Source organism: Homo sapiens, chromosome 1 (assembly GCF_000001405.40).
Source record: "Homo sapiens chromosome 1, GRCh38.p14 Primary Assembly".
Classification (NCBI taxonomy): Eukaryota; Metazoa; Chordata; class Mammalia; order Primates; family Hominidae; genus Homo; species Homo sapiens.
Genome location: NC_000001.11, coordinates 198219042 through 198237247, shown reverse-complemented (window position 1 = coordinate 198237247; position 18206 = coordinate 198219042). Strand labels below are relative to the sequence as shown.

General features: G+C 35.3%; 1 protein-coding gene across 17 annotated transcripts in view; it reads right to left on the bottom strand.

Moving 5' to 3' along the window:
• Positions 1–18206, bottom strand: part of NEK7 (NIMA related kinase 7) — a 165423-nt gene that overhangs the window by 85173 nt on the left and 62044 nt on the right. For 10 of the 17 annotated variants that reach the window (XM_047446560.1, XM_047446563.1, XM_047446572.1 and 7 more), the window contains exon 2: positions 4611–4695. In XM_047446560.1, coding sequence (XP_047302516.1) covers positions 4611–4667 — 57 coding nt within the window. In that variant the 5' untranslated portion in view covers positions 4668–4695. Of the gene's footprint in view, positions 1–4610; positions 4696–16137; positions 16250–18206 lie in introns of all 17 variants that reach the window. The other 7 variants (XM_017000345.2, XM_047446562.1, XM_047446567.1 and 4 more) reach the window with 1 other exon arrangement.

Sequence of the window (18206 nt, the reverse complement as noted above, 5' to 3'; positions counted from 1 at the left end):
AGATAGAAAAGAGGTCTAAGGAACTGAGCCTTGGGGCACTCCACTGTTAAGTGTCACCTTCTCAGAAGGTGAGAAGAAATCAATAGAGGGACCATTAAGACAAGAGAACAATAAGATTCCTGGAAGCCAAGTGAAGAATAGGTTTCAAAGAAGACAGCATAATCAACTCTATCAAATGCAGCTGCTAAGTAAAATGAGGCCTGAAAACTGGACTGGATGGAGCAGGAGAGGTAACTGTAACTTGACAGGAGCAGCTTAGGTGGCACAGTGTGGTAGAGAGCTTAATTAGAGTAGATTTTAGAGAGAAAGGAGAAATGGGAGACTGAATTACAGAAAAACCTTTCTGGGAACTTTGCTATAAAAGGGAGCGGAGAAATAGGTTAACAACTCGAAGGAAGAGTAACTTAGACTGTTTAAGGGGTTTTCTTTTGTTTCATTTTGTTGTTTAGATGGGAGAAGTAATAGCATAGTAGCACGGACCCAGTAGAGGGGGTGCACATGGGAGGGTTGGCCTTTGAGAGCAGTGTGGATAGTTCATCTGGTAACAACAGAAAAGGCAGATGAAGTGAATACAGATTCTGGGAGGAGGATAACTACGGTAGGAGTCTGTGGAGGTTCTCTTCTGACTGCTTCAGTTTCTTCAGTAAAATAGGAGCAAGGGCATCAGCTTAGAGCTAGGATGAGGAAAGGACATGTTATGGGTTTGAGGACAGAAAATATACAAAGTGGGAGAGTTTGGAGCCAGGAAAGTAGGGAGTGGATGCGCTAAGGATGATTGCTGAGCAGCATTAGGCTTTGAGTTTCATGGCCATAAATTTAACCTATAGCAAGAGTCTTCTTTCCTCAAAAAAGCTACTGCTCTTTCTGTACCATCAATAAAGTTATTCAATGAAGGAAACTGTTACTAGGAGAATGAAACATCTAAATTTCTGTAAAGACTTCCAAAAATAGAAGCACTCTACTCAATGCCTATGACAAACACCTTGGCAAAATCAGTTTATCAAAAGAAACAAGTTAAATGACACTTACTTCACAAAGAAAGTAACTCCAGAAGATAAACTAGAGAAAAAAGAAGGTAATATAGTTATCAAGTCTAAAATTCATACCCACTCAATAGAGAGGGATACTTTCTGGCTGGCCTACAATGAACCCTGATTACTACCCTGAACATGCTACTCAAGGTAAACTTTATTTCATCCCTCCACAGTCACTCCACAGAGATGCAAAATAGTAAATGGATTACAGTCTGAACTGCCATGAAGCTTAAAGGAATGGTCAGTCTACCTTACTGGTTAAGTTGCAAGACTCCAAGATAAGATTTTCATACTTTCCACACTGTAAGAATAAGGAATATCTGTTTTTTCTACCCACAGATCTGAGTGACATGTCTTTTCTCTTTCATAAGTAGCCAAAATATTACACTATCTTCAAATTAAAAAAAAATAACCTAGGCCTCTGATCATATCACAATGAAAATTAATCCTCCTTCTAATAACTCGCAAAAATTCTTAAAATTGTACTCTGATTATAATTGGTTTATAATTAACTTTTTGGAAAAAAATGTGACTCTACCATAGCCATCTTCACCCAATAACCATAAATCAAAATACTCACAAAATGTTAATTGTAAACTTCCATTGTTTAAAATTAGTCTTACAGTAAAGAGTAAAAATTTTACTATTTCCCAACCACCATCTTTATACAGTTTGAATTTTTATTTTTATTTTTAAAAAGCTAAATCCACTGTTCCAAAAACAAGAGTCCAAAGGCAATGAAAATATACAGAACAAGAATCTAGTCAAAATATCCTTTCAGTACCTTCTAGATGTTAGTGGAAAGAATCAAGAAAGGAAGAAAGGGGGAAAAGAAGGGAGGGTGGGAAGGAGTGGAGCTGATAGAAAAAATTTCAAAATACATTAATAAAGAAACATAAATCTCACATTCTAAAACAAAACAAAAGGAACTTACACTGTACCAAAAATGAGACCACATATTATACATTATGGGGTGAGAGTATTCATTTTGAAACAAGAAAAAGAATGGATATGCCAACAATATACATCACTTATCATTATAACAGGGAATTGGTATTTGACACTCAGAAACTTGACATCCTTAGTTTTCTGTTTATGCCCAGACTTCTATTACAAAAGTGAAAGAAGTCACTGGGCTAACCAGATGTTGCCATATCATCCCCATTATTCAGGCCAGTGGTGTGGAACAAAACAAAAAAAAGGTTGTCAAAGCTGAGCAGAGGCTGTCCTTTCCCAGTCTTCTAAAATAATGCTACTGAGAGCAGTAACGTTTTTCAAAGACTTAATAAGCAATAATGCCTATAAGCTCTTGTCAGGTAATCTTTCTTACACTGTCTCACACCATCAGTGTGAATGCAGAGAGGAGGGGAAAAAAATCCTTCTCCCTTCCCCCACCTGCCACAAGGCAGCTAGAACCTGGGACGACACTTGCCTGTTTCCAACAGGGAAAGAAGTCCACCCACACAGGAGCAGCAGCAGGAGGCATAAACGAAAGGAACAGTGTAAAAAGAAATGCAGAATCGCTGCTATAATTTTGAAATTTATACTGTGGGGCAGCCCAGTGTCTCACAGGAAAACAATCACTTTTATTTTTCCTTCCTACTGCCACTCCGACCTTTCCTGGTTGGTGAGTCAGTAGGAGGCAAAAATGAAAGTGCTTACTTTTTTTCCTCTTTGAAACACAAGGTTGTTTAAAACTGTGAATCTCAAAATCATAACATGAACTACCTAATTTTTAAAAGTGTTCTTTTATTGCCTTTGCTGGAAATAATATGAAACAATAATGTTTGTGTATGTGTGTAAAATGAGTCCTAAGAGGTCTATGTTTAATAGATATGTTTGTTTATTATAATCTTGATAATTTATGATCATAACATAAATATATATGGGGACTTAAAAAAAAAAATTCTTCTTGAAATCAAAATATTGGCCTTACTTTAAGCTAAAGGGTCTTTTTACTCAATATAGACAATTCAGACAGGTATAACAAAGAAAAGCAATGTAATAGTGCAATTAAGTAAAGGACTCATTTCATTGAGTCCCTGGTTGGTTTCAATTACATATTCTTATTGAGCCCCTGCTACAGGTGAGAAATTGAAGTACCAGAGGGCATCCAAGGTAAATAAGACACAGTCCTTTCCCTCAAGGAGATTTTAACCTAATAAGAGAGATAAAAATGACACCAAAGTATCAGAATACCAGAAGAGAGATGCAAAGAAGATACCGCCACATTTCCAAGGAAAGACTGCTTTCAGAGGATCAGACAAAGCTTTATGGTAGAGACGGCTTTGTTGTTGGTCCTTAAAGGATGGGCAGGATTTAGAAAATTGGAGGGGAAGATGGAGGGTACAAAATCAAAATCAGCAAAGTCATACAAGCAGAAAAGATCGTTTTTTGTAGACGGTTATTCTCTAAACAGTGCTTCCATGAGAAGTCAATAGATGCACTAAAAAAAAAAAAAAAAAAAAGGATCCCATAGACAAATAAGTTTGGAAAACACTACAGCCTATACCACTCTTTGAAATTCATTCACAATGCACACTAGTGTAGGAAAGGCTCTGAGGAAGTACTGCCACAAAGTCACTGTTTTCCCCAAGTCTCTCAAACCTATTTGACTATAGAACTCTTGTGAAAGAACACTTATCAGTAGCCCAAAGGCATGTTTTCAGAAATACCGTCCAAACAAAATTGGGACAAGGTTAGCAGAGTATACATGAGACATATTGTAGAATGCCTCAAACACCAAGCTGAGAAATATAGTCTTCAGGAACAACAGCAATAAAAATGAGGTATTGCCCTGACATGGGGTGGCAACTGTTATTTTAAACATGTCATTACACGTTAGCTTTATGACAAGTATTCATACTGAATGCAGGATGCTAAATAATGAATATGTGTACATTTTTTACTAAAAGATTTTTTTATTTCATTTTATGTTATTAAATACAAGAAACAAGCAAATATATCACAGGAGAAATACACTACAAGTGATAGGGAGAGAAAAGTCACCATCATGGAAGGCAGCTGTGGGCAAGGCAAGATCAGCTCACTAAAGCAGGGGCAGGTACAAAATGTACTGGCACTCCCAAGCTTAGGCACAGTCTCACCTTTTTTTTTTTTTCCTCTTCCTTCCCTAAACCTAATACTAACGCTCAGAGCTTACAGGTCATTCAAATAAAGTTAAAAGCTAAAGCTGCCTTTTTGTTTTCATGTTTGTAAATGGGAACTAAGCATTATCAAACAATATTTTAAAATAAATATTTCTATCAAAATGGCAAACTGCACCCTAAAAATATGTGCAATTGTACTGTATCAATTAAAATAAATAATATATTACACATAAATAATTATATCTAAAAAGTGTACTAATTACACCTAAAACAATTATACCAAAAGCCATAAACAAAACTGAAAAACAAAGCAAAAAAAAAAAAAATGCTGATTAAAACTTGGAAATTCAAAATTAGCACTTTTGTGCTACTTTATTTCCTAAAGGAACTGTAAATGTACTACTTTCTTACACATATTTAACACAGATTATATATAGTTCTGCCCATCTTAATTAGGATAAATTACCTGTGGTTGGAACTGAGGAACAGGTGGCCCTTGCATTCCTTGTGATTGCTCATCCATTGTCTGAAGCAACAGGAACTTTAGAACTCTGCAAAAATGTAAAGTTGAAATTTAAATAATGTAATCATTACCAATTCACATCATTCATCATACACCGACACATGCATTCAAATGCTAGAGATTTACTTGATGCTTCAAAAATTCACTGAGATATACCACACTCTTTTGCCATTTGCTAAATCCAAGCTCTAGTTAGCTCCCACAAATATTCACTGTCTCAACCATTTCCACTTCTCCAAAAGCATTATTTGCTTAGAAAATCCTGTTTCCTGAGATGAAATTCCTTCTTCTGCATTCTGCCTTTTAGATCAAAGATACTTTCCTCTACCCTGCCACTATGAGAAGCTAAGTAACAGAGTAAGCTCCCTAAAATTATGCTCAATGTTTTACATCCCTAAAATGCACCTTATCTTTATAGTCTAAAAATGTTAGTACTTTCTTTTATCCAACTGCTTACTGTGATTTTTTAAATTTAAACTTAAAAGGCCAGTCGTCATATGAGTGTCTACTCTTTTACGCATACTTTGTAATTATAAAGCATTTCATCCATTAATTCAGTATACATAGGCTGAAGGTAATTGCATGTCAGGCATTGCACAAGACTCAAAAATTGAAATATTTAATGACACACAGCCCTTACACTCCAGGAACTACATTTGCACTGATTCTACTCAACACCACGTGTTTCTAGGTTCTCTATAAATATTATTTTATGACCAAAATCTAAGACTCAAAAAACTAGCTTCCCTTTTAAATGGGATTAACTGATGGAACAACTAAAACACATCTTCACTTCATCATACTCTTTAAAAACCAATACAAATATTCTGGGCATGGTTCATTTGTATTACAAATTTCTTCCTCTACCCTGTGACTTGTCTTTCTAAAACCTTCCCAATGGTATCTTTCCATGAACTAATGAATAGAAATTCATAATTTTAATGTGGTCTAAGTATTTAAACTTTTTCTTTATGATTAATGCTTTGTGTACTATGTATGAATTATTTTTCTACTCTAAGTGCTCATATTATTTTCTAATGTAAGCTTTATTTTTTAACCTTTAATATTTAGATCTACAAACCATCTGGAATTAAGTTTTTTTATGATATAAGGCAAAGTCAATCTTTGTTTTTCTTTATGGATATCCAACTGACCTCAAATGATATATTGAAAAAATTATCCTTTACCACACTGCACTGCTGCTATGGTCATCTTTGTCATATACCAAATGATCATGTGTTTTTATATATATATATATATATATATATATATATATATACACACACACATACACGTATATACACACACACATATAGGTATCTGCACTTTCCTTGCTGTTGCACTGGCTATTTATTTGCACTAACAACAATAGTACACTATACAGTGTACTACTGCCCTACAGTGTACCTACTACACTGTACTATTACTACTCTATATAAAACTACAGTATTAATTACTATAGCTTATTATAAAGTCTTGATATTTACTTAATTACGTGTCTGATTTTAATACGAATTGTAAAATCGATCAGCCTATTTCGATTTTCTAAAAAAACACTGCTGGGATTTTGATTGGGATTACGTTGACCTTAAAGATCAATTTGGGGAGAATTGACATCTTAATAATATGGGGTCTTCAAACCCATGAACACAGACTATCTCATTTAAGTTTCTTTCAATAATGGCTTCCAGTTTCATTATACTGGTCTTTCACATCTTTTTTCAGATTATTTCCTAAGTGTTTTATATTTTTTGATACTACTGTAAATGGTGGGGTTTTTTAATTCAATTTTCTGATTGTTAGTATATAGGAATAAAACGTTTTTTGTATATTGACCCTGTATCTTGCAAAATTCCTAAACTTCCTTATTAGTCCAAGTAGCTTTTCTGTAGTTTTTTTGCCTTACTACAATAGATAGAACATCCAGTACAATGAATAGAAGTAGAGAGCAGACATCCTTTCCTTTTTCCTAATCTTAGGAAAAACGTATTAAATCTGTCACCAATAAGTATTATGTTAGCTATACATTTTTTATAGATGCCCTGATTTATCAGGTTGATAATTCCCTTCTATTGTTTGCTGGAAGTTTTTACAAAGAATAGATGTTAGATTTTTATTAAAAAATTTGTGTATCTTGAAATGATTACATGTTTTTTCTTTTTTAATCTGTTAAAATGTTGAATTATATTGATTCAATTTTGAATATTAAAGCAATATTCATTTGTGGGATGAACCCCACTTGGTCATGATAAATAATCATGTTTATGCAGTATTGGATTCAAGGTCGGGAGGAGGATGAAGGATAATCCTAGAAGTGAATCCAAATACCTTTTAGCATGAAATCCAATATTAAAATCAACATTTCATACCCGGTGTCCCACAGACAGTTTCACAAGATATTCCGTAAAGAAAAGAAAAAGTTTCCTGGTCAAAGACCCCTATGAAATAACATTTTTTATATGAATCTCTCTTGAAGAGTCATAGTGAATAGCACAGTAAAAGATCCAAGCAGGCCTGCAATTAGTAAAAGTTTCTTAAGTTTCGTTTCTTTGCTTTGCTTTCTTTGTGTGACATTTTAAAATATCCCACAGTCTGACTGATCCAAAGAAGACATTTTGAGAAATTCTGTACTAGGTTATAATAAAGTGGTTTTGCTATAGCTACTGATACGTGACAATGTCTAAGCAAATAAAACAATGAAAAAAGAAACATAAAACTCAAAGAAACTTAAAGTGTTTTACTCTAAAAATCTACATAAAGAACTCATTTCTACAGTATCCCATAAAGAAGGTCAAGGAGACTCTGCTCAGATATAAAATTCTGAATAAATTTCTCATATTGAATGTAAACTTAAAAAGAGTGAAAAAAGCCACAAACTGTGTTTTTCCTCTGCTTTCATACAACAATCACAATAAGACTTCTGTGACCAAATGTGTAAAGGTTTCTCTCCACACATCAAGCAAATAATCAGTTCTGCAGTGGACACCAGCTGGGTTTCCTCCAATTCAATTCCAACACTATCTTCCTGGAGATAGCAACAGATCCCACAGGTTAAGGGCTCAGTCCCACAAGACCACCGCCCCCTTTCCACCAGTCACAGTCCGAGCCTCTGGAATTTCTGACCAACCCACGTCAAGTTGGGGTTCCCCTGACCCCCTCTCTGGGTTTGATTTATTTGCCAGAGCGGCTCACAGACCTCAGGAGGGGAAATACGTTTACCAGTCTATTATAAAGAATATTACAAAGCATAAGGATAGAGAGATGCATGGGGCAAGTATGAGGGAAGGGTTGCAGAGCTTCCATGCCCTCCCCAGAAACACCACACTCCAGGAACCTCCAATGTGTTCAGCTATCCAGAAGCACCCTGAACCTGGCCACTTGGGCCTTTTGTGGAGATTTCATTGGCTAGGCATGACTGACAACCATACAGAAATGTGACTGGACAAAAAAGATATGATCAAATACTAACAGACTGAGTGGGAAAACCCAGCCAGGCCTGTCTGTTCAGCTTCTTCTTGGCCTCTTTGTGCAGCATTCCTTTCCCCAGAGTATGGGGCAGAACGCCTTCTGAAATGGTGTTAAGACCTTCAATCATACTGAATGGGCAAAAACTGGAAGCATTCCCTTTGAAAACGGGCACAAGACAGGGATGCCCTCTCTCACCACTCCTATTCCACATAGTGTTAGAAGTTCTGGCCAGGGCAATCAGGCAGGAGAAAGAAATAAAGGATATTTAATTAGGAAAAGAGGAAGTCAAATTGTCCCTGTTTGCAGATGACATGATTGTATATCTAGAAACCCCATTGTCTCAGCCCAAAATCTCCTTAAGCTGATAGGCAACTTCAGCAAAGTCTCAGGATACAAAATCAATGTGCAAAAATCATAAGCATTCTTATACACCAATAACAGACAAACAGAGAGCCAAATCATGAGTGAACTCCCATTCACAATTGCTTCAAAGAGAATAAAATACCTAGGAATCCAACTTACAAGGGACGTGAAGGACCTCTTCAAGGAGAACTACAAACCACTGTTCAATGAAATAAAAGAGGATACAAAGAAATGGAAGAACATTCCATGCTCATGGGTAGGAAGAATCAATATCGTGAAAATGGCCATACTGCCCAAGGTAATTTATAGATTCAATGCCATCCCCATCAAGCTACCAATGACTTTCTTCACATAATTGGAAAAAACTACTTTAAAGTTCACATGGAACCAAAAAAGAGCCTGCATTGCCAAGTCAGTCCTGAGCCAAAAGAACAAAACTGGAGGCATCACACTACCTGACTTCAAACTATACTACAAGGCTACAGTAACCAAAACAGCATGGTACTGGTACCAAAACAGAGATATAGACCAATGGAACAGAACAGAGCCCTCAGAAATAATGCTGCATATCTACAACCATCTGATCTTTGAAAACCTGACAAAAACAAGAAATGGGGAAACAATTCCCTATTTAATAAATGGTGCTGGGAAAACTGGCTAGCAGTAGGTAGAAAGCTGCAACTGGATCCCTTCCTTACACCTTATACAAAAATTAATTCAAGATGGATTAAAGACTTAAATGTTAGACCTGAAACCATAAAAACCCTAGAAGAAAACCTAGGCAATACCATTCAGGACATAGGCATGGGCAAGGACTTCATGTCTAAAACACCAAAAGCAATGGCAACAAAAGCCAAAATTGACAAATGGGATCTAATTCAACTAAAGAGCTTCTGCACAGCAAAAGAAACTACCATCAGAGTGAACAGGCAGCCTACAGAATGGGAGAAAATTTTTGCAATATATTCATCTGACAAAGGGCTAATATCCAGAATCTACAATAAACTCAAACAAATTTACAAGAAAAAAACAAACAACCCCATCAAAAGTGGGCGAAGGATATGAACAGACACTTCTCAAAAGAAGACATTTATGCAGCCAAAAAACACATGAAAAAATTCTCATCATCACTAGCCATCACAGAAATGCAAATCAAAACCACAATGAAATACCATCTCACACCAGTTAGAATGGCGATCATTAAAAAGCCAGGAAACAACAGGTGCTGGAGAGGATGTGGAGAAATAGGAACACTTTTACACTGTTGGTGGGACTGTAAACTAGTTCAACCATTGTGGAAGTCAGTGTGGCGATTCCTCAGGGATCTAGAACTAGAAATGCCATTTGACCCAGCCATCCCATTACTGGGTATATACCCAAAGGATTATAAATCATGCTGCTATGAAGACACATGCACACGTATGTTTATAGCAGCACTATTCACAATAGCAAAGACTTGGAACCAACCCAAATGCCCAACAATGATAGACTGGATTAAGAAAATGTGGCACATATACACCATGAAATACTATGCAGCCGTAAAAAAGGATGAGTTCATGTCCTTTGTAGGGACACGGATGAAGCTGGAAACCATCATTCTCAGCAAACTATCGCAAGGACAAAAAACCAAACACTGCATGTTCTCACTCATAGGTGGGAATTGAACAATGAGAACACATGGACACAGGAAGGGGAACATCACACACTGGGGCCTGTTGTGGGGTGGGGGAGCGGGGGAGGAATAGCATTAGGAGATATACCTAATGTTAAATGACAAGTTAATGGGTGCAGCACACCAACATGGCACATGTATACATATGTAACTAACCTGCACGTTGTGTATATGTACCCTAAAACTTAAAGTATAATGAAAAAAAAAAGATCTACAATCAGACAAAGCAGGTCAGAGAATTTCTTTATGGCCATCTCCAAGACAGAAAGGTAGGGGAAGACTTCTGCCTTCAGGAGAGAAAGAAGGAGGTGAAAGGGCAGGAGAAGTTCACAGAGAGAGATTGTTAGAAGGACTCCTTCTGAGCCCTGAGGCACCCCAATATTAGAGCAAAAGGCTATAACAAGCATTATGGGAGTTATGAGGCAGGAACTGTGGATGAAAACATATACATATTACAGTAAGTACGATGAATAAAAATTATTTGCATAATATATTTAACATAATTCCATGTGTAAGTGGGTTTTTTTTTTTTTGAGACGCAATATCGCTGTGTCGCCCAGGCTGGAATGCAGCGGTGTGATCTCGGCTCACTGCAACCTCTGCCTCCTGGGTTCAAGTCATTCTCCTGCCTCAACCTCTTGAGTAGCTAGGATTACAGGTGTGTGCCACCACGCCCAGCTAAATTTTGTATTTTTAGTAGAGATAGGGTTTTACCATGTTGGTCAGGCTGGTCTGGAACTCCTGACCTCAGGTGATCCACCCGCCTTGGCCTCCCAAAGTGCTGGGATTACAGGGGTGAGCCATCACGCCCAGACTTCAGTGGGTTCTTAATGTTATTATAGAATATGTCAGTGTTTACATATTGATTTAACACCATTACTTATCATGCCCTCAGAACACCAAATAGTGTATCTCGTACCACTAATCCTTTCATAAAATGAAACAAAAATATATTTTAATATATAAAATATTTTAATATGTATTCAATGTTCCAGATTGTAAGTTCCATGTTTCAGGGACACATTTGTGTCATCCACAGCTGTATCACCAGTGCTTACGTCAATACCTGGTACAAAATAGGTGGCTGAAGGAATATTTATTTAATGAATGAATGCATGTACGCATGTCAAGAAAAATCAAGTAATTATTGCTACAAATTAAGTATAAAATCAATGATGAAAAAACTATCATCACATTCAACAAATCTGGCAACCAATCTTCGAGCAAAACAAAAAAAACTCCCCAAAGAAGGTGCTGCCTGAATTGGGTTTTAAATCATGAATAGGAAAAGATGAGCTAAGGAAGAGAGGAATTCTGAGAAGAGGAAAGAACACATCAAAACAGTAAAAAGTATAGTACACACCACTTTATAAGTAATTTCAAACTAAAGTTGGTGAGTTGTGGGAGACGGTGGGTGGGGAGTTAGTAGCAAAAGATTAATCTAAAAATAGACAAGTGTCAGTTCATGGAAAAAAATTATGATATCCATTTGATATGAGAGAGGTATTGTTAGGTTTTAAGTAGCTGAGAGAGAGAGAAGTTCACTATCTTTGAAAGACAATCTTTTTAGCAATAGGACAGAGGGGCACAACCACAAGCAAGAAAGCCAGTTAACAGGCTACTGCACCAATACAGACAAGAGATGACGAGAGCCATCATGAGGGTCCTCTTACTCATCCCCCACCAGCTTTCAACACAACTAACCCACTTTCCTGAAGTGTTCCATTGTCCTGGTTCCTCTCCTAGCTATTCTAAGTTCCCTTTTCTATTTAACTTATATATATGCTGGAGTGCTCCAAGACCTGAATTTTTTTTTTTTTTTGTAACCTACACGCTTCTCAAGTCATCCAGAATGATGTCCTTTAAATTTTTTTATAATTTTTTAATTTTTATTTTTTGTAGAGATGGGGTCTCACTATGTGGTCCAGGCTAGTCTTGTACTCCTAGGCTCAAGTGATCCTCCCACCTCAGCCTCCCAAAGTGCTGAGATTTCAGGCGTGAGCCACCATGTCTGGCCAGGATCATGACCTTGACTACTACTGTTATATGATTACTCTGAAATTTGTATCTTCACTGCAGGTATCTATCCTGAGCTCTGAACTATAAACGCCTACATCCAACTGTCCACTTGGTGTTTCCACCAGAATAAAGCATTCCACCTCTCATGCACTACAAAACTTACTTTTCCTCCAATCTTTTTTTTATTTCTACATGTATCACCATCTACTTAATTGACCCAGTTCCACAATTCTCAAACTTTTAGGTCTCCACATTTCTTTACCTGAGGTCTCTAAAAGGCCTTTTGTTTGTGTGGGTTATATCCACATATATTCTCCATCTCCATTTTGGAAATTAAAACTCAGAAATTTTAAAAATACATACTAATTTATTTACCAATAACATAAGCCCATTTTATATATATATATAAAATAAATAGCTACATTTTCCAAAAATTAGTTAGAAAGGAAGCATTGTTTTACATTTTGCAAACTTAATGTCTATCCTCATAGAAAACGTTTCTGCATTCAATCTGTTGAGACACATTGTTTCGGTTGAAGTACAGACGTATGTTGCTCAACGAAGAGGACATGTGCTGAGAAATATATTCTTAGTTGATTTTGTCATTGTATGAACATCATGGAGTGTACTTCCACAAACCTAAATGGTATAGCCTACTACACACCTACACTATATGGTATAACCTATTGCTCTTAGGCTACAAACCTGTATAGCATGTTATTATACTGAATACTATGGACAACTCGAACACAGTGGTAAGTATTTTTGTATCTAAACATGGAAAAGGTAATGCATTGCACTACAAACATTATAATACCTATGATATCACTAGGCAATAGGAATTTTTCATCTTCATTATAATCTTAAGAAACCATAAGTTTTATATGCAGTCCATAAAGCATCATTATGTGGCACATGGCTATATATTAAAAAATCTGTCCTTCCACAAATGTATAGGTGAAAAAAAGAGAAGTATTTCAATAACCATTTCATATCATTGTATTCTTCTTTCATACTATACCAAATTTGACAGGTGGCAGGTTCCCAAACTGCAGTGTGCAGACTCAAATTATTTCAATGAGCCTTCATACTCTTAAAATCCAATGGTCTATCTTGCCCTTTGCAAAGATCTTTATTCTACAAGATTTTTACATTGGTCATCTGAAAATTTTTAGTCCACTGAGTTATTTAGATCTTCTAAATGTTGGCTATTTCATTATACCATTAAAAAAAATCACATTAATCAACATCACCACTAATCTCATCCAAAAAGTCTTTAAATACCAAGAAGATGTCAAGGTCATACTGATGAATACAGGTTTCCCAAAACTCTAATTTTTACTTTAAAAGTTCAAATATCATTAACAACAAGTAATGTCAGTTGTTTTCCTTTAAAGGATAGGCAGTTTGTTTTCCTAAAAATATCTATGAAATGCCTGTCTGAATATTGTCTTGCTTTCAAGTAAACATGGTGTTCCATGAAAACGGTAGCTACTCACCTTGCTGCACAACTGCAGAAATGCTTTTCCTTGAGACAACTTTGATTTGCTGCAGTAGAACTTTAAGCATACTTCCCATTTCACACATCATATTAAAAGACATATACTCAAAAGTTGACATTTGATAAGAATAATACTCTTTTACCACTTCATCAAGGACATTTTAAAATGAAACTTGCTCCCTACATCCAACACATCAGTATGCATCATTTGTTCTACTTCCAAAATATATCTGAAATTTGTTCATGTTCCTCCATTACCACTACTACTACCCTACAAGTTATCATCATGTCTCCACCTGGGACTACCATAATAGCCTACTAATTGATCTCTCTTTTTCTACCATTCTCTCCAAAGTGATATTTTGAAAACATAAATCAAATTATAACGCTCTCATTGTTCTTAGAATAAAAATTCAAACTCCTTTCTGAAACACAGTAGAATTCTGTAAGTAATCTCCTGCCTGCCTCTCCCACATTTCCAGCCCAGTCTCTCTCAATGAATGCCTTCCATCAGCACTGAACTCCTTTCTGTTCTTGAAACCTGTGAAATCCTGTCTGGCATCAGGCCTTTGTATTTGCTATCCTCTAGGCCCAGAATTCCCGAATGGCTGGTTCAAAATCAGCTCTACCCTAACTGCCCTCGCCAAAGTAGTGTGCGGCCCCCATCCACCCCCACCCCCCGCTTGATTCTTATCTTCACTCTTTAGTTTCTGCACAGCAATTATAACAATTTGTAATTGTCTTATTATTTACTTTTTTATTGTGTTTATCTCCTCTGCTATAAGTAGCAGAGGGCGAGACTGTCATTTTGTTCCCTGCTGTATTCATCAGCAAGTACCTGGCATATAATGGACACTCGATAAACATCGCTGAATGAATAAAACATGAAAGGAAATGGAGAATAGAGGATCGATGTTAGCATTGCTTGTTTTGACTTTTAGGACTTGTGACTGATTAGATATGGTGGGTGATGGAAAATGGAAGTTAAAAATGATTCCACGATTTTAGCTTGGGGGAAACAGCACGTGGTGGTACCACCGTCAAAAGTAGGTAATAGAGGGGAAATAAAAACAGGGCAGGTGTCAGGAAGGACAAAGTACAGAATGAGATTCACACAGAAAAACCTAACTGTAAATTATTAGGAGAAAAACCATACAGAACAGTTTTATAATATTCAAATTTCTTTGGGGGAAGGGGAGTTCAATATATTGTCTTGAAAATCTCAAACCAATTAGTTGTTTATCACCTAAAGCTTTTTAATGTGATTGAAAAAAGTTCTCTTAAGCATATTATGGTAACTCCAAATCTTTTAAGTACTACAAATATTTTCACATATATCCAGAAACCTAATACACATTAAAGTAAAACAATCTTCTTACCCTATTATTGCATATGGTCACATATTTTATGGAAAATAAAAGAACAAAATTAGGAATCTGAATATCAGACACAAGCGCTAATTAAATGACAGAACCATTTAGTTTTAAGACATCAGATCTGCTTGCCAGTGGACTGAATTTTCATAATTCATATGACCCTGATAAGAAAACTATTAAACAAAGTACAATATACTGTATATATTACAAATGATACAGTTCTCAACGACACTATACTAGATAACATTATACTAGATAACTATCTTCATTTAAAAACTGAAATAACATTATAACACAGTTCCCTAAATGAAAATAATGCCTTTCCTAGTTCCCATATTTAATAAGTTAATTTTTCTAAAGCTAAAATCCTAAGATAATTATCAGCAAATTAAATCATGCTAAGTATACACTTTTCCCTAAATATCATTTGAATTGAAAAACTACAGCTAACATATTTACCTTAGCTAAAATCTTAATCAAAATAAGAAGCTTTAATCTACATCTGTAGACATCTTCAGTGCATTTAATCTTTGAAAATTTATTTTGCAGAAATTGACCTAAAATAAACCAATATACATTTCAAAACATTAATCTGATTCTTGGCCAATTATATAGTTTTAAAACGTGTAATATAAAAGTTTTTTTAATGAGGCTTAAAAATATGTTTTTAAGAAAAATCATTGGTGCATTTTACCTGTGATCATAATTTTTGTCAAAAAAACTTTATAATTGGTCTTTAGGCAGAAAAAAAATTAATTATATTAAAGAATGTTAAACCAAAGAAAAATACTTCATTCTATATATACTTAATGAAGAAAGATTTAAAGACTGGTCAATCTCATAATCTTTCAAACTCAACTTTTAATTTAAAATGTAACGTAAATCCAATTTAACCAAGAATATCCATAGATTCTAGTTGTTCAAACGGACTTCCTCTTTATGTTTCCAAAGATTATTTAAATAGACTTCCTCTTTATGCTTCCAAGTAATAATTCCATGATGCTATCAAAGTTTCCCTAAAATGAATTATTGACACAGTATGAAATCTTAAATATCAAAATATGTGCTTACCAATTTGAAGAGAGATTTCAAATAGAGCTTCAGAAGTTTTTAGTTTTCTGATTTTTTTCAGAATTCTAGAGTTGAAGCATATTCGTCCAAGCTTATTAATAGTTTCCTTTTCCTGAAATAAAGTGTCTTTTCAATCTTCAAGGTTATTCAAAAACTCAATATTCCTTCTAGTTACATGTACCATTTAAATATTCTGAGAATATTAATAAGACATTTCATTGATTACAACTACAGCTCATAAATAACAAAAAAAGAGGATCAATCATATTTAAGTAGCAACACTACTCCCATCCAAAGGAAAATTATTGACTGAGCTGTATGTACATGTGATACCTAAAAAATGAAAGGGTATCATGGAAACTTGATGGTGACTGATACTTGGCAGAGTCTGAACACTCAAATCCAGAACTAATATTTTTCTTGGCCCCAAGTCACCATTCAGCAGGAATATTCCTGACCTCACTCACCTGCCTCCATTTAACTGAGTCATCCAGTACTTCCCATAATCAAGCAAGTGACATGTCGATATCAGACAATGCAAAAAAATAAGTGCTTAGAGTTGATAGTTCATTCTTAACATTTCTGTGTTATGATGAATGAGTTTTTAAGAACTACTAGGATAACTATCAGATCTTTGAAAAGAACCATGAATGTTTCTAGTATCCCAGTCTCAACATTTATAGTTAAACACATTAAACTAACCTAATACCAATCTTGGTGTTTAAAGCCCTTCTCCATTTAAAGGAATTAGGGCTTTTTGGAGAGATGATTGGTTCTAGGACTCAGGCTGAGAAAGAACAAGCTGAGTCTGAAACATTTTGTTGTGCCAAAGACAAGGTAGTATTCAAAGAACAATGTGGACATGTCAAAAAGACATAAAAGCCAGCTTGAATGGGTTCCCATCGGCCACATTTGGTACAATTTGAGAGTAACAAATTATAATCCATTGAATAAAGTAAGAACCTATGAGTTAATAACAATATAAATTAATAAATAGTGAAAAGGGGGAACCTACTTCTTACAAAAGAATGCCACCTAATAAAGCAAGAACAATGGGATTTAAAAATCAATATTTGCCAGTCATCACAGAAATAACTGATTCAGGCAAGAATCATCAATGGATGATTAGTGCAGCAAAGTTTACAGTGTCTCATAGTATTTCCCACCCCACCCCCCGCCCCAAAAAAGCACATATTAATTACAAAGGGAAAAAGAGTGATTTCATAGTAGAGAGCCTGGCAGTCATCACATTAGCCAAATAATCAAAAGTTAACATCACCAGTAATGGGACATGCAGATATGTGCCTCCAAATACAATGCACTTAGTAGAAAACATCACCTCTGTGATATTCCTGCCAAAAATATAAACCCTGAATTGCTTCAACTTATTTTAATCGACAAATAAAAATTCTATATACTTATTTTATACAATAATGATGTTTTAAAATGTGTGTACAGTGGTGAAGTCTAGGATTTTAATGCACCTGTCACCGGAATAGTATATACTGTACCCAAAAAGTAGTTTTTCATCCCTCACATCCCTCCCACCCTTCCCCATTCTGAGTCTCCAATGTCCATTAACTCACACTGTATGCCTTTATGTACCCATAGTTTAGCTCCCAATTATAAGTAAGAACATGCAGTATTTGGTTTTTGATTCCTCATTTACTTCATTTAGAATAATGCCCTCCAATTCCATCCAAGTTGTTGCAGAAGACATTATTTCATTCGTTTTACAGCTTAGTAGTATTCTACACACACACATATATATATACACACACAAACATACACACATATATATACACATATTTTAATATATTAATTATATATAAAAATAGAAAATTATAAACATTTTTATGTAAAATATACATAAATTTAATAGATATATATAAAACATATATACACACACACACCAATATTTTCTTTATCCATTCATCAGTTGAGGGGTACTTAGGTTGATTCCATTTCTTTGCAATTATAAATTGTGCTGTAATAAACATACACGTGCAAGCGTTTCTTTGATACAGTGACTTCTTTTTCTTTGGGTAGACACCCATCAGTGGAATTAC